Source organism: Homo sapiens, chromosome 12, assembly GCF_000001405.40.
Source record: "Homo sapiens chromosome 12, GRCh38.p14 Primary Assembly".
Classification (NCBI taxonomy): Eukaryota; Metazoa; Chordata; class Mammalia; order Primates; family Hominidae; genus Homo; species Homo sapiens.
Genome location: NC_000012.12, coordinates 59,159,260 through 59,186,258, shown reverse-complemented (window position 1 = coordinate 59,186,258; position 26,999 = coordinate 59,159,260). Strand labels below are relative to the sequence as shown.

At 35.8% G+C, this 26,999-nt stretch overlaps 1 annotated feature.

Moving 5' to 3' along the window:
- Window positions 5,704–5,873: an enhancer, noted in NCBI's record as "experimental_30360 CRE fragment used in MPRA reporter constructs". NCBI's record gives its function as "activates a minimal promoter by MPRAs in K562 erythroleukemia cells, with activity observed for both the introgressed and non-introgressed 12:59574252 variant alleles {active_cell/tissue: K562}" and the evidence as "EXISTENCE:reporter gene assay evidence [ECO:0000049][PMID:34662402]".

Here is a 26,999-nt window from a genome sequence, read left to right as displayed (position 1 = left end):
TATGCATACCACTTTTTCCAGTTGAAATTAACATAGTTTTTTATTGCAATACATTTTCTTATGTCATCTCAGCTACATAAATGTTTTAACAAACAAATTTTTGGAAAAACTATTTAAAAATTCCAACAGCCCTAAAATTATGTCTTTTTCTAAATATGTTTCTATTAAGGAAAGTCATGCGGGCTTACCTTGGTCTAATTCCAAATCAAATTTTTAATCTACTTAAATGTACCCTAATGTAATGATTTAGTTATCTATCCATCACTTGTGCATCTGCTTAGAAATGGGCAGGTGGTCCCTTTCAGAAATACCATTAGATAATGATAATGATTGCAATTAGATGATAATGATCTTGGTCATTTACAACATGCAGAGTCATTTGTATAAATGATTTTTTGTAAGTATGGTTTATAGTTGGTAGGGAACCAAAAGCTACTTCCTTCCTAGGTTACAATTCCTCTAAGTAGATGAGCTAAGTTAGGCATATGGGTTTGAGAAAGTTTATTGCATTTTCCTATCTAATAAGACAAATTGTGTAATTCTTGTCATGCCGGTGGGCTGGGGCAGACTTATACCAAACCCAACTGACACCTCCACCTCCCATCCAAGCCTCTGCCACGTGCTTTCTTCCTGGTTGTCTGGAGAAACCCAGTGACTACCCAAGCTCTGCTTATGGTCGTAAAGGCCTGGCAACCACTGCAACCACCGCAACCCCTGCAACCACTTCATCTCCTGAAAACACTTCAGCCCCAGCCTCCTCAGTGGTGACATCTGAGCTTCTCGACCACAGAGACTGTGGTTTCCTCAACAGCTGCCCAGAGAATCCTTGTCAAATAACCCAGATGTGCAGATGAGTTAACATGTTGTGGGTCAGACTTTGACCAATGAGAGACAAGAAGGAACAGGAGCAAGCAAGTATATTTTCCTTCTTCCTCTCTGGAGGCTTCATGTATGATCCAGGAACCAATTGTGTTTTCTTGAGAAGCTGAGGCCAGCTTGGCAATGCAACACCATGTCTCAGTTTTCCCTTCTTTCTTGTCTCAATTCCCCTTTTTTTGTAGTTGTTTTTTTTTGTTTTGTTTTGTTTTTCTTTTTTTTGGCTTTTGCCTTCCCAGGTAATAAGCCCCAATACAGTTTTAGCATATAAGTTCTGTCTCAAGCTACAGTTCTAAGAAATTCAGGCTGAGATGGAGCTCTTTAAATAACGTTCACATGTGTTTCCCTTTGCTTATCCCAGAAATTGTGACATTTACCAATTTCCTAAAATGACTAACCCCAATCTCCTGCACTCCCCACCAGATATAAAATCAATTAACTGACATGTTCCAATAATTGGTTTCTGTCTAGTCTCCACATATTCCAAAATGAGCTTCTGGGACAATAATGTAAGACAAGAAGGTCATTTTAAATGTCTCATATATTATGAATTATAGCATGGCTATGTTACTCAGGTTACACATGATTTTGAAAAATACAATATAAATTTTTAATGAGTTACAACATTCTCATATGCAATGTGAAAAATACTGGCCAACTAAGCATGCTTCTTTGCCTCATGTGAATCAATTCCATGGTACGTACCTTAGAAATATATTTGTTTCTTTAATAAACATAATTAAAGAAAATACATGGTTTCACATTTTACAAAGTATTTTTATACACAAAATTCAACTAGATACATACAGTTAACCTGAGACATAAAGAATATCTATACTAATGCTATTATTCTTACCGTTTACATGAGGATAAACTGAGGCTCAGAGAGGCTGAGTTTCCAGAGTCGGCAAGCAGCAGAAACGGGATAGAAAATTACTTTTCATTCTAGACTCTTTGATCTCTATACCCTGTCTTGCTGCTATACCACATTATATAGGGAGGAGAGGTAGACAATTTTAAAGAGTAATTTGGACATATCAAATTTCTTGAATAGGAATATATTGCCTAACTACAAAAAAGGAGGTTTTCTCACAACTTACATGGCAATATATAATATTATTTTAGACTCACACAAATGTGTATGCAAATTTAATTTCTACAGTTTTTTTTCCCCTAAGACATGAGAAAATTTAAATATTTAAAGAAAATCTGTGGCCAACTCTGGTAATGTCCACATATCACGTAACAGATAATACTGCCTAAAGGTAAAATTGTTTGCCTCAGAAACGCCTTAAAGCATCCTTATATTACAGCTGAATTTAATCATTGGATGGATACTGAAAAAGGTGACTCCTAAGGTCCTAAGATTGATCCCATTTTGGGAAAAGTGTTTGTTCTTGGATAAATATCTGTTTATACCCGAGAAATGATGGTAAGTTGGAACAAATGGGCACTTTTCTGAACAGAGAAAAGTTAATGATGGGAATCCTCAACAAATAAATTCACTTAACATTTTTTTATGATCTCAAAAGGAATTCCATAGAGAAATCTATGTATTTCAGATTCACGGAAAGCCCTTCCAGGGGGTGAAATGTAAAGCAGTCAGAGAAATACAAGAAGCCATGGTAATATGTGGGTTTCACTTTACGTAAAACTAAAATAACATTTTCGGGGGGGAAATTGACCCAAAGGTTTAGAAGGATTATTTTTGTACCATCAGATACGTTTCATAGTGAAAATGCATTGTAAACTATGAATTTTCTCTTCTGTGAAGGTATGACACTAATGTGCTGCTAAAGTAAAGCATAACAACCAAACACTATGTTTTATCAGGAAGGGAAGCAAGAAACAAAGCAGCAGAGTATCTCAGACCCTTAGGAGAAAAACTCCAGCAGGTCCTCGTGGTGACTTCTTGAAATTTTGCTACCTTTTCCTAGTAAAGCACAATCTAACTTATATGTTTGCAAAATCAACTTTCAGTTATCAGGCAATGGACAAATTTTTAATTGAAAGAATAAAAGTGTACTTTTTTTTGTTGTTGTCATAGAGTCTTGCTCTGTCACCCAGGTTGGAGTGCTGTGGCACTTTCCTAACTCACTGTAGCCTGGGAGCCTGGGACTCCTAGGCTCAAGTGATCCTCAGCCGCCTGAGGAGCGGGAACCACAGGTGCAAGCCACCATACCCAGCTAATTCTTGTAGAGACAGAGTCTGGCTATGTTCCCCAGGATGGCGTTGAAATCCTGAGCTCAAGTGATCCCCTCACTTTCAGCCTCTCAAAGTGCTAGGATTAGAGGCATAACTCCCCCATACTTGGCTGAAAGTGTATGTTTAAGAAGCAGTTTTACTATAAATGAAAGGCTATTCTACCTTAGTTGTAATCACTAAAAATGACATAAGCCTGAACTTTAAAATGGTATAAGATATTTAAAAGTTATTATCAGGCTCTAGGAACTATCAGAGCCTTTCACACACTTTTGGTATCATATATGTATTATGTATGGAAAAGAATCATCCCTTTCCTCTTAAATATCCTTAGCAACTAAATATTAGAATGACTCATGCACCTAAATGTGAATAAACAAAGTTTCTCAAGAAACTGCAATCACTTCTACAGGAAACAGTAAAATATCTTATTTGTGAAAAGTGTACAAATAAATTAGTAAAATAAGGAATGCAGGATCCATATATTCAAGCAGGATGTTTATCCAATTTTTCAAGATACATCTCCCAAGTATATTTTCATAAGGAAATGCAAGCTAGATAATAGTAAAATTAGATAGTATTTTCTGTACTTAGACGTTAAAGGAGATTTCTTATTAACATCCAAGTATGGATGTTAATGTTTATGTTCTAACGGATAAAATAAAGAAACACAACAGACATTGATTTCACACTTATATAAGAGCCAAATATGAAAGCTCTAGGCATGGGGGCGGGGGAAGTCCCTACTGCACTCATTTATTCAGACATCCAGGCTGATGGAGACAGTGATATCATCATCTTCTGGTTTCTGAGGTCACCCTGGCATTAGCATCCAGGCACCAGAAAGGGAAAGAGAAAGGTGTTTTCTGACTTTAATCAGCATTTATCACTTCCGCACATGTTCCATGAACTAAATCTCAGACATATGGCTGCACATAACTTCAAATAATATTTTCAAACACTTGGAAATTAGATGGGAAAATGAGATTGCCTTCTTAGAGTAAAACAATTGAATCAATATTTACCATAGGTTGTGGTTTTACCCCCAATTAAAAATAAAACTCTAATTAATAGGCTCCAATTTTTTTTCCTAATGCAACATTAACTCCTAAGTTAAGGAAAATCAGGCAGTGTTAGTATATTAAAGCTGTGCCACAATTTTGGTTAGATCTCTTTCAGTTGCAAAGAATGGAGACTCATTCAAGCTACTGCAATCAAAAGAAACAAATTATGCAGATACATGGGACTAGAACTGGTACTGGAAAAAGTACCAAAGTCAGGAGAGCCCTACCAATGAGTTGATCTATTTTTCTCTTGGGGCTCATGATTTTTTTCTCTCATTGAATAACTATATCTCTCTACGTAATTGTTACTTGCTCTCCTCTCTAATGCCCCTTACAATGTCTCCCTCCTCATAACTCTGGCTCCTTCTGGATTCAATCTCCACGGCCTTTAATATATCTCATGGCATCATTTCTGATCATCTAAATTCCAAAGAGGAAAGGAGAGAGAGACCCAGCTCATCTTTTTGGGTCAGGCCAAATCACTGCCTCTTTCATCTCAGACCAGTTGACAGCTCCTGGCCCAATTAGCTGTGGACAGGTGTGAGTCACATATACACCTCGTGGTTTCTAGGCAAGGGATTACCAGGGTGGAGGATGGGCCTATTAATGAACATATCTAGCACAGGCACTGAATATAATATGAATATATCTAAACAGAATGACAACCAAAGAACCAACATTCAAAGAGAACAGATGTCCAACTGGATATTACATATTCACTACTCAGAGTGGAAAAATCCCTGGCAAACTAACTTGGAGTTTTCTATTTCCACTGGCAAAGTTATCTGTACAGTACAAAAAATGTCCTGCAAGTTCTCTTAACTTAAAAGGACTCTTAGCTGAAGGACTTTAAGTAGAGGTTTATAATCTTTTTTCCAAAATCTCTTAGTGTTAGATACATTTAGCATCATGTATTTTCAGATTTTAGATAGCCAAAATAGTCCAAATACCATATATTATGTACCAACCCCAGCAGGATCTCTATGAGTGCTATGTAATCAAACATATTCGTATTTCTGCAGTAAAATAGTCAGTTTTCCAGGTAAGAGCAGAGTTTGCTTCTAAATGAGGTATTAATTTTTTTTCAATTTTCAGAGTTTTTTTTAGTATTTTTTTTAATCACAAATGAGGGATTGTACACTTAACTTACCATCTCCATGTTAATGTTTTACTTCTGTTTTTTCCAAGATGCTTAAATATTCTCTGCCTTGATTTTATATGTACCAGAAGAATCTTTTGATTGTTATTTAACTCCTTTTGTTGAATGAACATAAGAAAAAAAAGACTCTGTGTGCATTTCCAGTGTCCAATAATTCTGACAGTTATTAATCAGTAGATGACTTGCTTTCTTCTGTCAGTGGCAATTTTGTGTACAGATTACTTACTGTGAATCTTTCTCTCATAATTCAATCACCCCAGGCATTACTATGACCCATTTTTTTGGTCTCTGGACCTGACCAAAGGACCTAGCATTTGGTGAACAACTTGAAGTTCTGTGGGTTAGGTCTAGATCTCTGTGGTAATTGCTACCACCAGGTTTCCAAAGATAGCTTAGTAGCTGATATAACTACTGTACTAAACAACGACATCTCAGCCATGAAAAGGCACTATTACAGTGATGCACACCATAGATCTAAGAACTCAGCTGTATGCCAGCTTATACTTAAATTAGCAACTATTTCGTTTCTTTTTTATTAATGGCAAGGGTTTCTGATCAAGATGACTATATTTTTTTAATTTTATTTTATTTTCCATTTCAATAGTTTTTGGGGTACAAGTGGTTTTTGGTTACATGGATAAGTTCTTTAGTGGTGACTTCTGGGACTTTGGTGCACCTGTCACTTAGGTAGTGTACACTGAACCCAATATGTAGTCTTTTATCCTTCACCTTCCTCTCATCCTTCCCTGACTGAGTCCCCAAAGCCCACTATATCATTCTTATGCCTTTGTATCCTCATAGCTTAGCTCCCACTTATAAGTGAGAACATACAGTATTGATTTTCCATTCCTGAGTTACCTCACTTAGAATAATGGCCTCCATCCAAGTTGTTGCAAAAGACATTATTTCATTCCATTTTATGGCTGAGTAATATTCCATGGTGCATATATACCACATTTTCTTTATCCAATCATTGGTTGATGGGCACTTAGGTTACTTCCATATCTTTGCAATTGTGAATTGTGCTGCTATAAACATGCATGTGCATGTGTCTTTTTCCTACAATACCTTCTTTTCCTTTGGGTAGCTACCCAGTAGTGGGATTGCTGGATCAAATAGTAATTCTGCTTTTAGTTCTTTAAGGAATCTCTACACTGTTTTTCATAGTGGTTGTATTAGTTTACATTGCCACCAGCAGTGTAGAAATGTTCCCTTCTCACCAGATCCACAACAACTTTTTTTATGGCCCCTGTTGCAGGAGTAAGGTGGCATCTCATTGTGGTTTTCATTTGCATTTACATGATAATTAATGATGCTGAGCATTTTTTTATTTTTTTGTTGACTGTATATCCTCTTTTGATAATTGTCTATTTATGTCCTTTGCCTAGTTCAAGGACATTATTGTTTTTTTTCTTGCTGTTCTGTTTGAGTTCCTTGTGGATTCTGGATATTAGTCCTTTGTCAGATGCATAGTTTGTGAATATTTTCTAGCACTCTGTGGGTTGGATGACCATATAATATTACCTGATACTTGATTACTCATTTCCTCTATGAAATACTTATGAAAACGCAAAAGAGATGCAATATTTGATAACTAGAAACTAAACACTAGTTAGCAATATGTCAGATACCAGAAACAATTTCCTCTAACAAATGGCCCCATGATGCTCTGATACAGAAAAGGGGAAACATGCAGAAATAATGTGGTGGGTTTATACCCATACACACAGAGTATTGGGAATTCAGAGGCAGAATTATTTTTAAAGATACCCTAACTAACTTCTTATAATGAATATGTATAATTATAAATGTAAATGAAATACTAAAATTTGTACATTATTCCCAGGAAAAACAGCCAACACATTGAGGAATAAACCTCAAATTATAATATATCTCAGTAGCTCTCCACAGCACCAGAAACTTTAATAGGTATGAATGTAAATTTCCGTATTGCTTCAAAAATAAATGGAAAACATTATCAAGCAATTATATAAGTTAAAAAATAGAAGCTACAAATGTTGACAGAAGTTTATAGAATAAGATCCTAGGGTTCTCACTTGAACATCCTTTCAGAATGAGCCTCCTGCACAATGAATCTACTTAAGAAACAAGTGCAGTACAAACTTAGGTTACAGAGCACTACTACCTAACTGCCAAGGCAAATAATAGGTTCACTTTACTCTGTGGCATCAGGCCACTTCTGAAGAACTGTTTCTTTACTGGTATACTACATTTTAAGAGGGACTTTTTATTAACTACAGCATATTTCAAGAAATTTAATACAAATTATGAAAATCCTACGAGATAGCTGAGACTGTTTTAAGTAGCAATGCATCCCACTAGTAATTGATGTTTTCTCAACAGTTAGAAAGGCCTGGGGCTGGATCCTGACTCTACCTCCATACCACCCAGGGAAGCTAGGAAGGGTTATTCCAGTTCTCCATACCCACTTGCTTCACTGTTAACTTACGACATCAATAGTATGTGCTAAACATGATCCAGTGATCACTGGAGAATTGTATGAACTAAACCATGCATAACATTTAGAATATTGTCAGGAATGTATTTAGCTCTCAGAAATATTAACTATTACTACTATGCAAAGAAGAAACAACTTTTTGAGGAGAAATTAGACAAAATAGCCACCATCTAATAGTTGTCAGTCCACTGTGTAAGACAGTTAGTTAATATTATGTGTGATTATGGAAAGAACTAGGGTCACACAATGGCTTTTTGAGACACAGGTTTAATAAAAGATAGAAATAATAACATTCTAAAGACTAGGCCTATCCAGAAATGTAAGGACAGGACAAGCTCATTGAACTAAGGTTACCATCAGGAGGTGTTCAAGTATCTGCTAGATGCCTCTCGGTCAAAGGGATTTGATATGCTTTGGCTGTGTCCCCACCCAAATTTCATCTTGAATTGCAGCTCCCACAACTCCTGGGTGTTGTGTGAGGGACCCAGTGGGAGATAATTGAATCATGGGGGTGGTTTCCCCCATATAATTGAATCATGGGGGCGGTTTCCCCCATACTGTTCTCTTGGTAAATCTCATGAGATCTGATAGTTTTATAAAGGGAAACCTGTTTCACTTGGTTCTCATTCTCTCGTCAGGCACCATGTAAAATGTGCCTTTCACCTCTCACCATGATTGTGAGTCCTCCCCAGTCACATGGAACTGTGAGTTCATTAAACCTCTTCTGATTTATAAATTACCCAGTCTCATGCATATCTTTATGAGGAGTGTGAAAACGAACAGAGATTGGAACAGTTTGGAGGGATCAGAAGAAGACAGGAAAATATGGGAATGTTTGGAACTTCCTAGAAACTTGTTGAATGGCTTTGACCAAAAAAGGTGATAATGATATGGACAATGAAATCCAGGCTGAAGTGGTCTCAGATGGAGATGAGGAACTTGGTTGGAACTGGGGTAAAGGTGACTCTTGCTATGTTTTAGCAAAGGAACTGGTGGCATTTTACCCCTTCCCTAGAGATTTATGAAACTTTGAACTTGAGGGAGATTATTTAGGGTATCTGGTGGAAGAAATTTCTAAGCAGCAAAGTATTCAAGAGGTGACTTGGGCTGTTAAAGGCATTCAGTAAACAGAGCAAAAAGTTGGGAAAATTTGCAGCCTGATGGTGCAATAGAAAAGAAAAAAAAACCATTTTCTGAGGAGAAACGCAAGGGAGCTGCAGAAATTTGCATAAGTAACGAGGAACCAAATGTTAATCGCCAAGACAATGAGAAAAATGTCTCCAGGGCATGTCAGAGACCTTTGCAGCAGCCCCTCTCATCAAAGGCCTGGAGGCCTAGGAGGAAAATATGGTCTCCTGGGCCGGGCCCAGGGTCCACCTGCTGTGTTCATCCTAGGGACTTGGTGTCCTGTGTCCCAGCTGCTCCAGCCATGGCTAAAGGGTCCACGGTACAGTTTGAGCTATGGCTTCAGAGGGTGCAAGTCCCAAGCCTTGGCAGCTTCTGCATGGTATTGAGCCTGCAGGTGCACAGAAGTCAAAATTGAGGTTTGGGAACCTCCACCTAGATTTCAAAGGATGTGTGGAAATGCCTGTGTGTCTAGGCAGAAGTTTGCTGCAGGAGCGGGGCCCTCATGGAGAACCTCTGCTATGGCAGTGTGGAAGGGAAATGTGGGGTGTGAGCCCCCATGCAGAGTCCCCACTGGAGCACTGTCTAGTGGAGTTGTGAGAAGAGGGCCACCATTCTCTAGAGCCCAGAATGGTAGATCCACTGACAGCTTGCACTGCACATCTGAAAAAGCCACAGACACTCAACAGCAGCCTGTGAAAGCAGCTGGGAAGGAGACTGTACCCTGCAAAGACACAGGGGCAGAGCTGCCCAAGACCATGAGAACCTACTTCTTGCAACAGTGTGACCTGGATGCAAGACAAGAAGTCAAAGGAGATCATTTTGTAACTTTACTGCCCTGATGGATTTTGGACTTGCATGGAGTCTCCAGCCCCTTTGTTGGGGTCAATTTCTCCCATTTAGAATGGATTTTTTTTTTTTTTTTGCAATGGAGTCTCTTCATGTCTCCCAGGTTAGAGTGCAGTGGCATGATCTCGGCTCACTACAACCTCCACCTCCTGGGTCCAAGCAATTCTTGTGCCTCAGTCCCCCGAGTAGCTGGGATTACAGGCACCGGCCACCACATCCTACTAATTTTTGTATTTTTAGTAGAGACAGGGTTTTGTCATGTTGGTCAGGCTGGTCTCAAACTCCTGACCTCAGGTGATATGCCCATCTAGGCCTCCCAAAGTGCTGGGATTACAGGTGTGAGCCACCGCACCCAGCCTAGAACAGCTGTATTTATTGAATGCCTGTACCCCCAGCGCATCTAAGAAGTAACTAACTTGCCTATGATTTTATGGACTCATGGATGGAAGGGACTTGCCTTGTCTTAGATGAGACTTTGGACTGTGGACTTCTGAGTTAATGCTGAAATGAGTTAAGAGTTTGGGGGACTGTTGGGAAGCCCTGATTGATTTTGAAATGTGAGGACATGAGATTTAGGAGGGGCCAGGGGTGAAACGATATGGTTTGGCTATGTCCCCACCCAAATCTCATCTTGAATTATAGCTCCCATAATTCCCACATGTTGTGGGAGGGACTTAATGGGAGCTAATTGAATCATGGGGGCAGTTTCTCTCACAGTGTTCTCATGGTAGTGAATAAGTCTCATGAGAGCTGATGGCTTTATAAGGGGAAACCCCTTTCAGTTGGTTCTCATTCTGTCTTGTCTGCCAGCGTGTAAGATGGGCCTTTTGCCTCCTGCTATGATTGTGAGACCTCCTAAGCCATGTGGAACTGTGAATCCATTAAACCTCTTTTTCTTTATAATTACCCAATCTCGGGTATGTCTTTATCAGCAGCATGAAAACAGACTAATACAGGATTGAAGGAATTTCTTCATAAGAAGCCTGAACTTCCTTATGACTAATTAACATTTGTCCTTTCCAAATACATTACAAATTCTTTTGAAAGAAAGGTACATGTGTCTGTATTTTTGTATATTTCCATATAAAAGTAGTATTTAAGAAAATAAATTCTTGTTAAATACTCAATTTAAACGTCAAGTAGTCCTTGAAATGGCTACATTTGTTTGGATGGAACAACAGTCTGATAAATGAGGTCATCACTATATTTTATCTATTCTATTACATATTTTTCACGTTAACATTTTTGAAATTTATAGTCTTTTTACATATGGTACATAAAATAATGGTCCATTTTACAATGATGGCATCTTAGATTGATGAAATCTAATAGTTTGTGCATCTGTGATGTACCGGGTCCTAAGTACTTTATAGGCATTATCTCATTTAATTATCATGCTGCTAACGAATGAATGTGCCCCTCCAAAATTCGTATGTTGAAATCTTATTTGGAGATGGTACTTTTGGGAGGTAATTAGGTCATAAGAGCAGAGCCCTCAAAAATGGTATTAGTGCCCTTATAAAAGACTCCAGAGAGCCCCCTCACCTCTTCTGTCATGTGAGAACATAGAGAGAAGACGGCCATTTATGAACTGGGAAGTGGCCTCCACTAGACACTGAATCTGCCAGGGCCTTAATCTTAGACCTCTCCAGCCTCCAGAACTGTGAGAAATAAATGTTTGGTTGAGCTGCCCATTCTAAGTATTTTTGTTACAGCAGCCCAAACAGACTGAGACACATGGTAACCAAGGGTAGATATTCTTATCCTCATTTTGTAGGTCTGATTTAGAGTTAAAGAAAAACATTGGCCAGAAGTAGTGGCTCACACCTGTAATCCCAACACTTTGGGAGGCCAAGGTGGGCGGATCTCCTGAGGTTGGGAGTTTGAGACCAGCCTGACCAACATGGTGAAACCCTGTCTCTACTAAAAATACAAAAATTAGTAGGATGTGGTGGCCAGTGCCTGTAATCCCAGCTACTCAGGGGACTGAGGCACAAGAATTGCTTGGACCCAGGAGGTGGAGGTTGTAGTGAGCTGAGACCATGCCACTGCACTCTAACCTGAGCGACATGACGAGACTCCATTGCAAAAAAAAAAAAAATCCATTCCAAATGGGAGAAATTGACCACAACAGGGGCTGGAGACTCCATGCAAGTCCAAAATCTATCAGGGCAGTAAAGTTACAAGATGATCTCCTTTGACTTCTTGTCTTGCATCTGGGTCACAAAATTAGCTGGTCGTGGTGGTGTGTGCCTGTAATGCCAGCTGCTCAGGAGGCTGAGGCAGGAGAATCGCTTGAACCCAGGAGGCAGAGGTTGCGATGAGCTGAGATTGTGCCATTGCACTCCAGCCTAAGCAGTAAGAGTGAAATTACATCTCAAAAAAAAAAGAAAAGAAAAAGAAAAATGTTTGTGATCACACAGCTAGTAATGATGGAGTCAATTCAACTGACATGTGTCTGGTTGGAAAGTTCATGCTATTAGTCAGTTCACCGGCACGCTCTTCTAAGAAAGGTTTGGATAATTTTTTTTTTAATAAAGAAAAAATTTTAAAGTCTCAGAGGTGCTTCTGTGTATTTGCTAATGCTTCTCATGCTTCTTAGATATCCCTCTGCTGGTCAAATCCTGCAGCCTCAGAGCCATACTGCACTTGCAGCAGCTGTACCATTTAATGTTGATTCTCAGAGCTAATCTAACATTAGAACGCAATTTAATGTTGAGGTGATTCTAAGAAGCCAGAACACTGTCGAGGAAGGTTGTCTCCTTTTTCAAAATGAGACATAATGTCTATTTCATTCCATTTTGATAATATTTTAGTACAGACTAAAATTCCCGATAGTAATCTCTATGAAAAGCAAAAATTATTTCCCCATTTAAATAATTTTACCACAGCCTTAAAAAGTCCAAATTGACGAGATAACTTTCACCACAGAATTTTACAATGAATTAGAAATGTCTTTTTAAAAAGTTTGTGTTCATATGATAATTTTTAAAACTATTATTAAACCTCAGTATTTTGGGAAATATTTGAAAGAATAACAGAGGCTACAGGATTGATGACTAAGTGCCTCACAACACTACCTTAATATTTGTTATGGTAAGAACCATGACATTCTTATTTTTACAGCTATTTCAATATCAAACTGAGGCAATAACAAATATGCTAAACTAGATTTAGAACCAAAATGAAGAGCTCAAGAAAAAATATCATAAATGTTACCAATAAGAATCTATTTGGTGAAGCTACAACATATCTATTGCTATTTTAACATGCACAATCATTACGTTCTAGGTTGTTCCCAAATTACTAATTCAAAACATACTGAAGGGCTGAAAATGACTGCACATTAATGGCAATTCAATATGAAGTGAATAAAATACAATATCGTCAATTTTCGTCATCTCTAATGTTCACTTTAGTTACTCTAGATGAAATGTGCACTGTCAAGATGCTAACCAATCTTGAAATAAGAACTCGGCCTGTATTTCCCTATCCCATGATTGCTCCCTTAGTCCCACATCAAGTTCTAATTTAGGAGTCTTTTCTTTCAGAGATTCTACCTAATCACTGGCAGCCAGAATGATGCCACTCTGTTGTCAACAACTTGAACTTGTAAAAAGAGTTTCCAGTCTTATAAAACTGTACAAGTAGTATATATATATGTAGAGATTTTATAGGTAATATACATTAATTATACCACACTGATTCACCCAAAAGCATTGTGTTGTAAATCTTCCCATAGAAGTCCATAAATTCCATCTTTTTTTTTAACTGACCCAAAGTATTCTATGGTATGTATGTACCATAATTTATTTATTTAACAGCTTTCTTTTTATATTTATCTATGTTGTTTCCATTTCTCTTTTGTTTTTGTATTTCAAATAATACAGAGAACATTCTTGGATGAGATATATTGTATATGTGTAGGAATTTCTCCAGAGTAGATACTTTAAAATAATTATTGGAAATTATAGATGTTTAAATTTTTTTTCACAGAAACTATCCAATTACTCCGCAAAATTGCTATACCTTGGCTGGACATGGTGACTCATGCCTATAATCCCAGCATTTTGAGAGGCCAAGGTTGGAGGATTGCTTAAGCTCAGAAGTTGAGGCTGAGACCAGTCTGAGCAATATGGTAAAACTCTGTCTCTACAAAAAATATAAAAATTAGCTGGGTGTGGTGGTGCATGCCTAGAGTCCCAGGTACTTGAGAGGTTGAGGTGGAAGGATTGCTTGAGCCCAGAAGCTGAGGCTGCTGTGAGCTGTGATTGCACGACTGCACTCCAGCCTGGTTGACAGAGTGAGATCCTGTCTCAAAAAAAAAAATTGCTATACCTTTAGTCAACCACCAGTAACATAGAGAGTACTTGTTTCTCCACACAGTAGTTAACACTTTGTACTTAAAGACTAAATTTGATGACAGTCTGATAAGTGAAAATGGTATCTCATTATTTTAATTTTCATTTTCCCCATTGCAAGTAATTAAAAGTTATCTTTTCATGTGTGTATTGATTTACTCTTCTCATACGACTTTTGACTGTTCATATGCTTTCCTTATTTTTTAGATATTTGTTGAACTTCATTTTGTGTTGTATGCTGTAATGCTTTCTACCAGCTTGCCACTTATTCTCTAACTTTGTGGTATAGTTTGTCTTTGGAAATATTTTACCATGATCAAATTTATCAATTTTTATTCATATATTTCCCCTTATCTTTTTGAAAGAATTTCTTTCCTGCTCTAAGGTCACGGACACAGTTTCCCATTTTTCTTATTTTTATGTTTTTTCTTTTTTTTTTTTTTTTGCAAATAGCAAATAGTTTTTATTTTTACATATATATATTAGGTGAATCTGGAACACATTTTTGAGACTCTTCAAATGTAGGATTCCAAGTATTTTTTTCCAAATGGATAGAAAATTATCTCAACTCCATTTATTAAGTAGTCTATCTTTTATTAATTGATCTGAAAAAGATTTTTTGGTATTTAGCTTTCTATATGTCAATTTCTGGATCAGTTGTGTTCCATTAAATATCTCAACTTATTATCTATTATATTTTTCAACTATGTTTTAATATTTAATATGACATCTGTTATTCTTCATCAAAACTATTTTTACTATTCTGTTATTTTCTTCTTCATATGAACTTTAGAGTTGACTTTCAGGTTCCATGAAAAATATTGATGGAAATTCCACAGCTATTATAGTAACATTAAAGATTATTTTGAAAATTAAAATTTTAGAATACTAAGATGTTACATTCATGAACACATTATATTTCTTCATTTATGAAAATCTTCTTTTAGTTCCTCTAGCTTTAAAGTTTTATGTTTCCAGCATTAAGCCAGAGCACAAGGTTTATTCTTACAATTTTATGATTTATATTCTTATTTGAATGTTTGCTATTTGTAAAAATAATGATTTTATACTTTAATTTTACATAACATCACTTTACTGATCTATTTTACTATTGCTTCAGTTATATTTTGTTGATTCTGTTGGGTTTTTCTAGGTAAAGGATAATATTGTTCACATAGAAAGATGCCTTCATATTTTTCTCTCCAATATTTATATTTCATTTTTTATTGTTCCTATTGCAGGTCTAGGGCCTCAAGTAAAATACCATAAGATAGAGTGCTTTTCTTGTACCTGAATTTATAAGGTCCTTGTAGCTTTGAGATGTGGTATATGCAGTATTTGAGTACATTGCTGATGCTAGTGCCAAACACTAACTTTAAATCCCAACTTCACCAATTACTAGCTGCGAGACCTTGAGCAAGTTTTAAGCTCCTTGTGCCTCAAGAATAATAATGCCTATTTTATAGGGTTGTTGTGAGGATTAAGTGAGTGAATATATGAATACTGCTTGTAACAGTGCCTGGCACATGTGCTATGTAAATGTTAACTATTATTATTCCTATTTTGACATTAAATATGATGTTTGATATGAGTTAATGCCCTCAGGTCTAGACACAAATCTGTGAAATTTGGACTATTATCAAATATTAGCAGAAAGAATTGCATTGCATTAACATTAGGTTTCAAAGGTTATTAATATCTTAAACAGAGTGCATTGAAGTAATTTTGGGGTGGTATCTAAAAGAAAAGGAAGAAAAGGAGCATGTGTTCATTGAATACCAGATATGATCCAGAAACTGCCTGAGACTGACTGAATTATTCCTCATAACTCTCTAAGATACAGAGCCACAATTTGACTTTTAAAATGAAGGTGAGGTTAAGCAACTTGACCAAGGTTAGATACAAAGTTTGATGCAACATTTAAATTCTGGTTGCAATTCTACAGACTAAATAAACTCCTAGGTTTTGCAGCTTCTACCAACTTTGCAGATGGCTTTAGACCTGTGGATCTTTCTTTTCCCTTCATGTTTATTTGAGAGGTACTGAAGAATAAAAGGCAGAGGTGTTCTTCCTGTTAAAACATAAGCTCCCTGCAAGCAGAATTTGAGTGGCTCTCAAAATGCAGTGGCCAGAATAGTACAAGGTGTATAGTAAAAGCTTAAAATACTTTTAAAAATTTTTGGTTGATAAGAACACATACATGTTTATGTCACCTACACTGAGGATTCTCAGATACTAAGTTACCAAAATAATATTACATCATTTTCATTCTGAAGGATTATTTCTCTGTAATTTTCATCTCGATAACAGTTTTATATTCTTCAGCTCTGAGTACACAGGAAAGCTGTCAAAAACACAGGCATCCGACAAGAAAATTTTCCGAGCTTTAAACTTGAAATTTGTGGTTATATGTAGATCCACCTTGATTTTCCAGGGTGTTCACCTACCTATTTACAGCAGAAAAATAGCAGTTGCTTCTTTCTGGAAATTATTTGTTAAAGTTCTTTATGTTTAAAATGATTTATGTTTAAAAACGATGAAGTTAGTACTTAATATTGGTATGATATAAAATAAAATTCTAGTAAAGGTGCTTTTTATTTATTTAATAATAAAATATCAATTACATCTGTTGATAATTATAAAATCATTGAGATTGATATATTTAGTCATTCCAACTAAATATAGGAAAAACCTGAAGCACAGAATTGTTAAATAATTTCCTGAAGGTAACTTAGCAGGTAAATGGTTGGTGCCATTCAAACCCAGATGGGATGACTCCAGAATCCTCACTCTTAACCACTATGTTGTGTTGTCTTACATAATAGTTAAAATGTCTTCATTATGTTGCCTTCCTAAATAAATGTTTAACACGTAGAGGGATATATCTCACATCATTACTAGTGATTCTACATTTGCTTCCAGAAGTCCAGCTAAACATTTGGAGAGAAACACATTACTCTACATTTCTGTATACCCACAGCAGATTTACAGCAGGTATTGTTAATATATTAAATTGTACTTTGAAGGACTTCCATTTAAACCTCAACTTCCCTCAACTTCCACCTTCAGTAAACTTCATTTATAAAAAAAGATGAAGTCATTTATGCCTTTTTAGTTTTAGTATTTTCAGTGTATTGTCCAGCTAGTGTGTTCATTGCCTTACATAATGACATTTCTTCAAAGCATGTACGTGCTGCTGCTTTATTTTGCATGGAGGAAATTGAATTGAATCCCCCTCTTGGAATGAACAATCACTTGGCAGCATAAGTTATTTTAATGGACATCTCTTTACACTGAGCCTTTGCCATCTGTTTCACCCTCTAATTACAAATGCAGGAAGAACACAATTCACAATTGTGTCTGTAAAGGAAAGTATAAGGGACTCGAATGCAGGTTTATATCACTGCATCTGTTCAGTGTTTTTAAATCCAGGAGGAACAAGAGGGCAGGAAACTTTTCTTTCCCTTCTAGATCCAATTAGCACAGACAAGTAAGAATTCACAGCACTAAGTTACCAAGATCGGTTCATCTAGTGAAAATTGGAAAACTACCCTACTAATCCAGATCTGTGTTTACTTTACATTCAATTGTTTTTCTCTGATACTAGCACTGGTACAGAAATTAAAATTATTTTAGGGACTAGGCAGAACATTCACATGAATTTAATTAAATGAACAGCTCAATGACAAGTGCGATTCAGAATCAAGACACTTGTCATTTAGGTGGAATTAATTTAGTCAAAGGAAAAGGCAAAAGTGTTTCCTTACCTGTTCACAATTTTTTGATAAAGCTCACAAACCTATGGATGGATAGGAATCTTAAATCTAGGTCATTTGGCAACTGAGTAATGATGCTTCCTGGGCCTGGTGCCTGAAGCTAGAAGTTAGATTCACACTCTAACAAGGAAAAGATATCAATGAAACCAGATTGCGTGTGCGTAACTGGGCTACTCACTTCAGATTTTGTAGGTTCGATTTATTACAGCAGTATCTTGTGTCTGGTGGCTTAAATGTCTTTTCTTCTTAATTATGACAGCTGCATTCTCTTGATACATCAATTAGCCCCTGAAACGGAGAATTGTCTCATACCCATAACCAGCGCAGCTATTATCAGTGTCAAATCCTTTCAAAATATACTGAGCTAGGTAGAAATAATTTAAATCACTCAACCAAGTGGGCACTAATCACTAAGGCACTAGAGTATCTCATTTTTTTCGGGCTACTAGAATGACATTATAGGAACTGTAACCTGGTGTCAGTCCCATCCTCTAAGAAATATACACTGGGAGATTCTAAGTAAAGCATAGAGAAGAACAGCAATTATAATTTTTTTCACTGTTGCACTAAAATTAAAACTCATAAAATCACTTAAGATTAGGGAAATTAGCAAAATTGAATAAGTGTGTCCATAAACACAAATTTTCATTTGCTGTCATATTCATGTTCTCACTGAACAAAGGAGGAAAGAGAAAAAATGTAATTCTGTTTTCTACCTAAAAGCTAAGAATTTATTTTTCTTTTTTTCCTTGCACATAAGTGCATCTTCCTTTTAAATGCCTCATATATAACAGGGTCACTCTACTTATGAGCCAATAATGTGGAGATTATTAGTCCATATTCCCCAGGTGTTATCTAGGGCAGTGATGCTGTAAAATGGAGATGGGAGCCATACATTGACCCTGTTAAAGATAATAATTCAATGATTTACAAGATACGTCACAATGAAATCAACTGAATTCATTGTCTCACTAAACAATGCAAACAGGGTTAAAATATTATCCTCCAGTGATTTGAGCTTGCATTGTCCCCATTACAGCTGCATTATTGGGGCTTCAAAAGTCATATGCAGGTATACGTAATTGATATTATTAAAACAGAATATCAAACCCTTAGTTTTTACATTACTTGTACAATAGAATCAGAAATCAATTGAGTGCATTTCATTTATTTGCAGAAAATTTACATGCAGTATTTTTTTTCTTCTATTTCCAACTTATCCAAATTGACTTTCATGACTTCTTCCCAGTAAATCTAACATCCACTTTAGTTGTAAATGCAGTCTGCTTATCCACCCTTAATTCACCACCCCAGCCTCCACGCTAATCTCTCCTCACACCAAGATCCCTGCCCAGAAAGTTCATTAAGTGGCCTGGGAAAAAAAGTTTATTACTGAAAACGATAAGGGAGAACTTCCTTTCTCATACCCTGGAAATGTGCAAAATAAAGGATGATGATGAAGCAGCAGCAATGCTTTCAAAATGCAGATGAAGGGTCACTTCTATTCAGTTTGTCCTGATTAATAGATGCATGAATCATGATTCATTTTATTCGTGACTGTTAAAAGTATATTTTAGATCATAGTACTATTTTGTTTAAAATTCTTCAAGAGCTTTTCACTGCAACCAAAAGAAAATACAAACTACTAGGCTGACTTCCCTGATTTTATCTCTCTCTTATTCTTATCCCTTTCACTAATCTCTAGCCACTTTGGACTTTGTACCTTAAACATGTCAAGTTTTTTCTCTGTTGGGCTTTTATACTTATTGCTTTATTTGCTTCACACACTCCTCCCCAAGATTTTTACCCTCTATCATTTTCTTATCAATCAACTGATAACTCAGAGAGCATTTGCTAATAAATCTACCTACAAAGCAGCCCTCTTGTCTCTATAATATTATCATTTTATCTGTATCATTGCACAGCACCTAAAACTGTTCTTTTTACTTGGTTACATGCTTATTTTCTCTTTTTCCTGGCTAGAGCATAAACTGTTTAGAATAGGGACTCTGCTCCAGTCATGCCAATGATTAGTAGGTGTTCTATATATATTTGCTTACTAATTGTTGATTTACCCCTCAATACTACAACTACTCTCATGCTTTCCTCCCCAGTTATTTTCTTGATTGTACTGAAAATCATCCAGTAAGTGGCCACACTGAGATAAAAATCCAGACGGAATCTAGAGTACTGACTCTTAAAGATAACATTATGGCACATTTTTAAGAGTAATACAAGGGAAATGGAGTGAATATTGCAGTATTTATGTCTATCAGCACTGTCCCTCTGAATTTTCTGCAATGATGGAAATGTTCTATAAATCCAGCTGTCCAATACAGTATCCATTAACATATGTGGCTACTGAGCACTTGAAATGTGGCTAGTCAAACAGATAAAATGGGGTTCTTTGGGTGTAGACCCCCATAGACGTAAATATTAGGGCATCTGAAGGCAAAGGGGCTAATTATTTCTTAAGGCTAACTAGTACTCTACAGAATAAATAATAATAGAGACATAAGAAATATAATATAGCAAGTTAGAGAACCAACCATTTAGACTTTAAATGCTAACTTTAGGTTGATAAAAATCATTGGTTCTATTTGAACCACGAGAGCACCTTTCTCCTTTTCAAATTTGACTGCTTTTAATTACTAGAATCTAGGTTATAAAAGTTGTTAGTATTTCTATAACCTGAGTTTTTGTATCACAAAATAGTATTAAATTGTCAAGATCATTATTCTATTTTTATACAGACAACATAAGAGAATACTTAATTATTCCCTATTACTGGAAAAAAGGTAAATTAATTTTTAATGTATTAAAATAAGAACAGGAAGAAGGAATTTTATTTCTAAATAATTAGATGGACATTGTTAAATAATTTTTATTCAGTATTTGCTGATAATAAAATCATTTAAGGAAATATGTTCAATACTTATCTGTAAAAATTGGACATTCTTTTGAATATTTTCTTCTGCAATTATTTTGAATCAACCTTTAATGAGAGAGTATATTTTAATGCTAATATCTTCTTCGTATCACACATCCAGTAGGTGGCAGTCTTTCTTTTGAATTAAGAACCCAATAGAATAAAAGTAAGGATGGACGGATAGATGAGCTAAACAAACCCCATCATTCTAAAATGTACTGTGCATTTTCAGCTAAATGGTGAAATGAATATCTGGTCTTCCAATCCAGTAGATTTTGCAAGACTTGAAGCTGAAGTAATGCCTTGTTGTTGACAATAATATAGGTCACCGGGACACCTGGGAAAAGGGAATAACTAGGTTGTCTGGTCTGACTGGAAATTATTGCAGAGCTCTGTCGTGTTTTCAGTGCCTCAGGCCATAGGACAAATTTGTAGCTGATCTGGGAGTAAGTTCAAGAGTCAAGATGATGCCAAAATATAATTTTTTTCATCAAATCTCTCCTGAAGCTGTAAGAAAATAACAGTGATTTAAGCTTTTCATCTCTTTTCATTATCCATTTTTAATGTCATGGAGACATGACAATACAGCAAAATAAAAATGTATAAAGAGATAAAAAATAGCAAACAGTGAGTGCCACATACTGCCTTTTGAAGAGTTTAAAGCACATTTATGGATATCATCTCACACTGAGAGATGATATTTAATTTTTCAAAGCCTTACTGAGTAACTTTAACAATATTTGAAATATATACAATTGGTTACTTTTTTCTGTCTGAAAGAAATCAACATTCTACTCATTTTTTCTTTCTTACTGTTCCTACTTCAAACTTGGTTGGGTTGTAGTTTATCTTTCAGAAGGGGAGGTGCATAAGTATTTCCACCTTTATAAGGGTTGGTTTTTTGTTCCTAACACCCCAGATTTCATGTTTGTTTCATTTTGTCTATCTCATTTCTAAAACATTCTTTCTGGAGTAAGATAAGATAAAAATCAATAATTCAACCATTGTGGTTAGATGGCCTACCAGCCTTCAATTCCCAACACATTGATCACACAAATCCCTTTCTTCATGTACTTAGTTTTTTTTATTATTATTGTTCACTAGACCATAACACTGAGGTCCCTCTGGTGAGAGATATGTTTTACTCATTGTTATTCTACCCACAAGGTCCAGCATAAGACTTCTATATGGTAGGCATTCATGCAACATTTATTTAATGATTGAGCAAATTAATGAATATTAAATCAAATTTTACTTTCCTTTGGGTTTATGCCATGTAAAGTTTCTAAATTTTTTCCCATAATATGTAGGAACTCATTTCCGTACTTCAACAGCTAACATTCCTAATACTGAATATTTCTGTTAATGTTAACTCCAAATTTTTTCTGATAACAGTAATGCCCTAAGCTCTTAACTTTTTCTATAGACACCCCTTTAACTGATTAAAAAAAAAAAACTTCATGAAGCAAGTAAATACATGTTTCATGTCAATTTTACTACATCTTAAGCCACTCTTTGCTCACAAACTGGTTCCACATGGTTGCCGGGAGAAGAAAAGAGAGCAGATAAGGTAGTCAAGGATTAAATATCCCAATAGCCAAGTACCACAGGGCATGCTACAATGTCAGAGGGGCCCAAATTCTGTGGTAAGTCAGGAGTTCAGATATACATTTCTGGAAATACAAAAAGGAATTTTTAAAGCTACTTCCCAAATGTTCAAATAAAATTAATAAATTATTACTATAAACCCAAGAACCACTTACTCTTCAGACTATATTTCATTTCTCACCAAGTTTTCTCTGTTAAATATGATTACCTTGTCCAGTTTAACCTCAAAAACTACCTTTCTAGATTTTAGTATTAATCATTATTACATTAAAAATCTTTCATTATTGCCATCTCTGTTCGATCTTCACATAGTTAAGTTCATGCCTGTTCAGCCTCTGTAAACAGAAAACTATGGTCTCCTATGAGTATCACTCTAGCTTCCAGTGTACAGAAAGGAATTCATCCTTGTAGTAAAACTTCTAGTTCAGTTTGTTTTAATACATAAACGACTCATTATTTAATATTCTCTCCTTTGTTACATACTTCTAGTCTTGACTCCTTCATTTGGACCCTGTGTTAGTTCTGAAAAACAACCTTTCTGCTATTTGTTTCTTCATCTTGATCTGTCTCCAAATTACTAACCTCTTGACATCAATTTTGCTATAAAGAAGTCAATAACATTTGAAGGGAATAGCTTAAGCATATTACGACACACATATTGAGTATCTGGGAAATATTATAAGATTTAGCTGTAACACATTCATGGAACATCTACTATTAATATTATTAATATTATTCAGATCAATGGCTTTGATTGCCATTTGTATGGAGATGATTAGTGTAAATCTCTCTTCTGGATTCCAGTCTTCACGTACCAAAGTTTCTGAGATAGTTATACAATTAGTTCCAATTGTATTCATCTTTTTTTGGTTGTGGGCTACACAGAGTTGAAACAGTTAAGTTTTAGATTTGTTAACATAAATGTCTTAAGCAATGGCAAATATGTGAACATGAAAATAATTTTTCTGGGCCAGGCGTGGTGGCTCACGCCTGTAATCCCAGCACTTTGGGAGGCCGAGGCGGGTGGATCTTGAGGTCAGGAGATCGAGACCATCCTGGCTAACACGGTAAAACCCCATCTCTACTAAAAATACAAAAAATTAGCCGTGCGTGGTGGCAGGTGCCTGTAGTCCCAGCTGCTCAGGAGGCTGAGGCAGGAGAATGGCCTGAACCCAGGAGGCAGAGCTTGCAGTGAGCAGTGATGGAACCATTGCACTCCAGCCTGGGTGACAGAGCAACACTCTGTCTCAAAAAAAAACAAAAAGAAGAAAATAATTTTTCTGGACAATGTGTAATATGGATTGTATTAGTCTGTTTTCATGCTGCTGATAGAGACATACCCAAGACTGAGTAATTTATAAAGAAAAAGAGGTTTAACAGACTCATAGCTCCATGTGGCTGGGGAGGCCTCACAATCATAGCAGAAGGAGAAAGACATGTTTTACATGGCAGCAGGCAAGAGAGGAATGACAACCAAGTAAAAGGGGTTTCCCCTTATAAAATCATCAGATCTTCTGAGGCTTATTCACTGTGGCAAGAACAGTATGAGGGAAACTGCCCCCATTTTTCAATTATCTCCCACCAGGTCCCTCCCACAACACATGGGAATTACGGGAGCTACAATTCAAGATGAGATTTGGGTGGGGACAAAGGCAAACCATATCATGTATGTTAACGGAAAAAATAATATATTCAAGATAAATATATTTTTATTGTAATACATTATCAATATTAATAGATACCCTCTTTATTAATTTGCAACAAAAAATTATATATACATTAATGATAAAGTTGTGTGAACTTCACTGGGTATAATGGTGCTAGTAATAAAGACTCATTTATTTTGAAACTAATCATATGTTTTAGTTGCAATGCTGAGGTCAACGGCACAGTGCTTTTATGTTGATTTAATCACTTTATCATTGTTAGTTCACCTATAACTTAAACTTACATCCATGTGACAATAATAAAAAAAAAACCTTTTCCAAGTGATTTGAGTAAAGTTATAGGGTGGATCTTTGCTCATTTTACCCATGAGTGAATGATACTAAAAAAGAAATCTTTTTACATGACATAAACTGGTTTTATTTATTATAAAATGTTTACTCTTTGACTTAAATGTTCTACGTAGAAGTCAATATGGAAAGTTGTATATTTTTAAGTCACTATAAATGTTCATGTGCCCGTTAGCATAAACGTGAAGTATAGTTTTACAAACATTATATTTAATATGTCACATAACTTTTAAAATGTATGTTGACATGCAGTCAGAAAACTGAGTTGTTTCTAGAATCTATTACATTTTAGTTATGTGACCTTTACTAATTTACTTAATATAATATCTCTGAGTCTCAATTACTTCTAGAATAGAAATAATAGTATCCTTCTTAGAAGTTTTATAAATATTAAATGGGAGCATAGACACAAAATTTAATAATTTTTAGTCCATATAAAATTACTCTTCACCCAGTGTATGGAGAGTATTTTAAGTACTCTACATACAGTTTGAATATACTATGTTTCTGTATATCTCAATAATATGGTTTGGCTCTGTGTTTCCACTCAAATCTATGTCAAATTGTAATTCCTAATGTTGGGGGAGGGACCTGGTGAGAGGTGATGGGATCATGGGGTCAGATTTCCCCATTGCTGTTCTTGCGATAGTGAGTAAGTTCCCATGAGATCTGCTTAAAAGTTTGTATCAATTCCCCCTTCACTCTCTCTCTCCTGCCACCATGTGAAGACGTGTTTCCTTCCACTTCACCTTTTTGCCACGATTGTTAAGTTTCCCAAAGCCTCCCAGCCGTGCTTCCTGTACAGCCTGCGGAACCGTGGGTCAATCAAACCTCTTTTCTTCATAAATCACCCAGTCTCAGGTAGTTCTTTATAGTGGTATGAGAATAGACTAATACACTCAATAAAACGTGAAAATGTAAAATATGAAAATAATAGTACCTGCTCCATAGGGTTGTTTTAAAACAATGTGCAAACATGGACTCAATAAATAATAATTGGTAAATTTAACTTATAATTATTGTTACAGAAAGCTCAATCCCCATGTGTTACACAGTGGGACTTTGTTATATTTATATATAAACCAATCAAATAACATATCCTGAAAGAAAACTCCATCGAATAAAAAATAGATATAGGCTGAGCACGGTGGCTCATGCCTGTAATCCCAGCGCTTTGGGAGGCCAAGGCGGGCGGATCACGAGGTAAGGAGATCAAAACCATCCTGGCTAACGCGGTGAAACCCCGTCTCTACTAAAAATACAAAAAATTAGCTGGGCTTGGTGGCGGGCACCTGTAGTCCCAGCTACTCAGGAGCCTGAGGCAGGAGAATGTCATGAACTCGGGAGGCGGAGCTTGCAGTGAGCCGAGATCACGCCACTGCACACCAGCCTGGGCAATAGAGCGAGACTCTGTCTCAAAAAAAAAAAAAAAGATATAATAGAGTTTGTCTACATACAGTACTAATCTACATTGTAGTGAAATAAGAATGGTAGGATCATTTTTAGTAACTTATAAATGTTTATCAATATTGGTGATTGTCAAAGGCCAAAAGGATATGGTATAAATCTAGTTGCTAATTTTCCTGCACACCTTTCTCCCATCTGCTTCATTCCATAAAATATTTTACAGAAAAAAAGGATTTCTCTGGACTTTTTTTCAATCTAATGATGGCACAGATTAGGCACTGATTATCTGCGATGCAAAAAACTGCCTGGTGAAAGGTTATATATTCCATTTAATGTCTCTGCTTCGAAAAGAAAATGAAAATATTAATCGTTTGACTTAAAATTATTTCTAGAAAAAGAGGGGATGTTTTTCTAATATTTGCAGTTATTACTTAGATTTTTTAAAAGGCATTTTTTTTCAAAGCAGAGGTTTTGAACAAGGATATTTCAAATAGTGATAGTAATTGAATAGTTCAAGCCTAGTAAAAATACCAATTGTGAAAATAATATATGGGTTCATTTTCTAAAATTCACAATTTTTTCAAAAATATTATGGTATTATTGTAAAGTACAGTCTATTGGATATCTAACTTACAATGTGGCTTTTATTTTGCAGCTTAATTATAATTGACAAAAATAGATTTTAATTTTTTTAATCAGTGTAAACCAAATTGAGACAGAAACAACAGGAACAATCCTAATTGTTATAACATAGCCACACAGAAGAAATTAGATTTTGAAATCCAACTTTTAGAATTAGTTCCAGCACAAAGATGTGTTTATAAAAAACTATAAGAGAAAATGTCATTTACAGGTAGTTAAGGCAAATCTCAGTATTGGCATGGACACTTCTTCCTTGGATTTTTTGCAATGATCAACTCTCACAGCTTGTTTATACGCAATCTCCATAAAGCTCACTCTTAACTTTTCCAGGCACAGAGACATTCTTAAACAATCTTTTAATCAACTATCACAATACTAGCTCTATTTTAAAGCATCCATATTCATTATTTAGAGAACAATTAAAGGACTCATTGGGATATTTTTATTATTTATGCCTTATTTTGTAATGAAATTTGTATTTCCTGCTGACCTATATTTTAAATAACG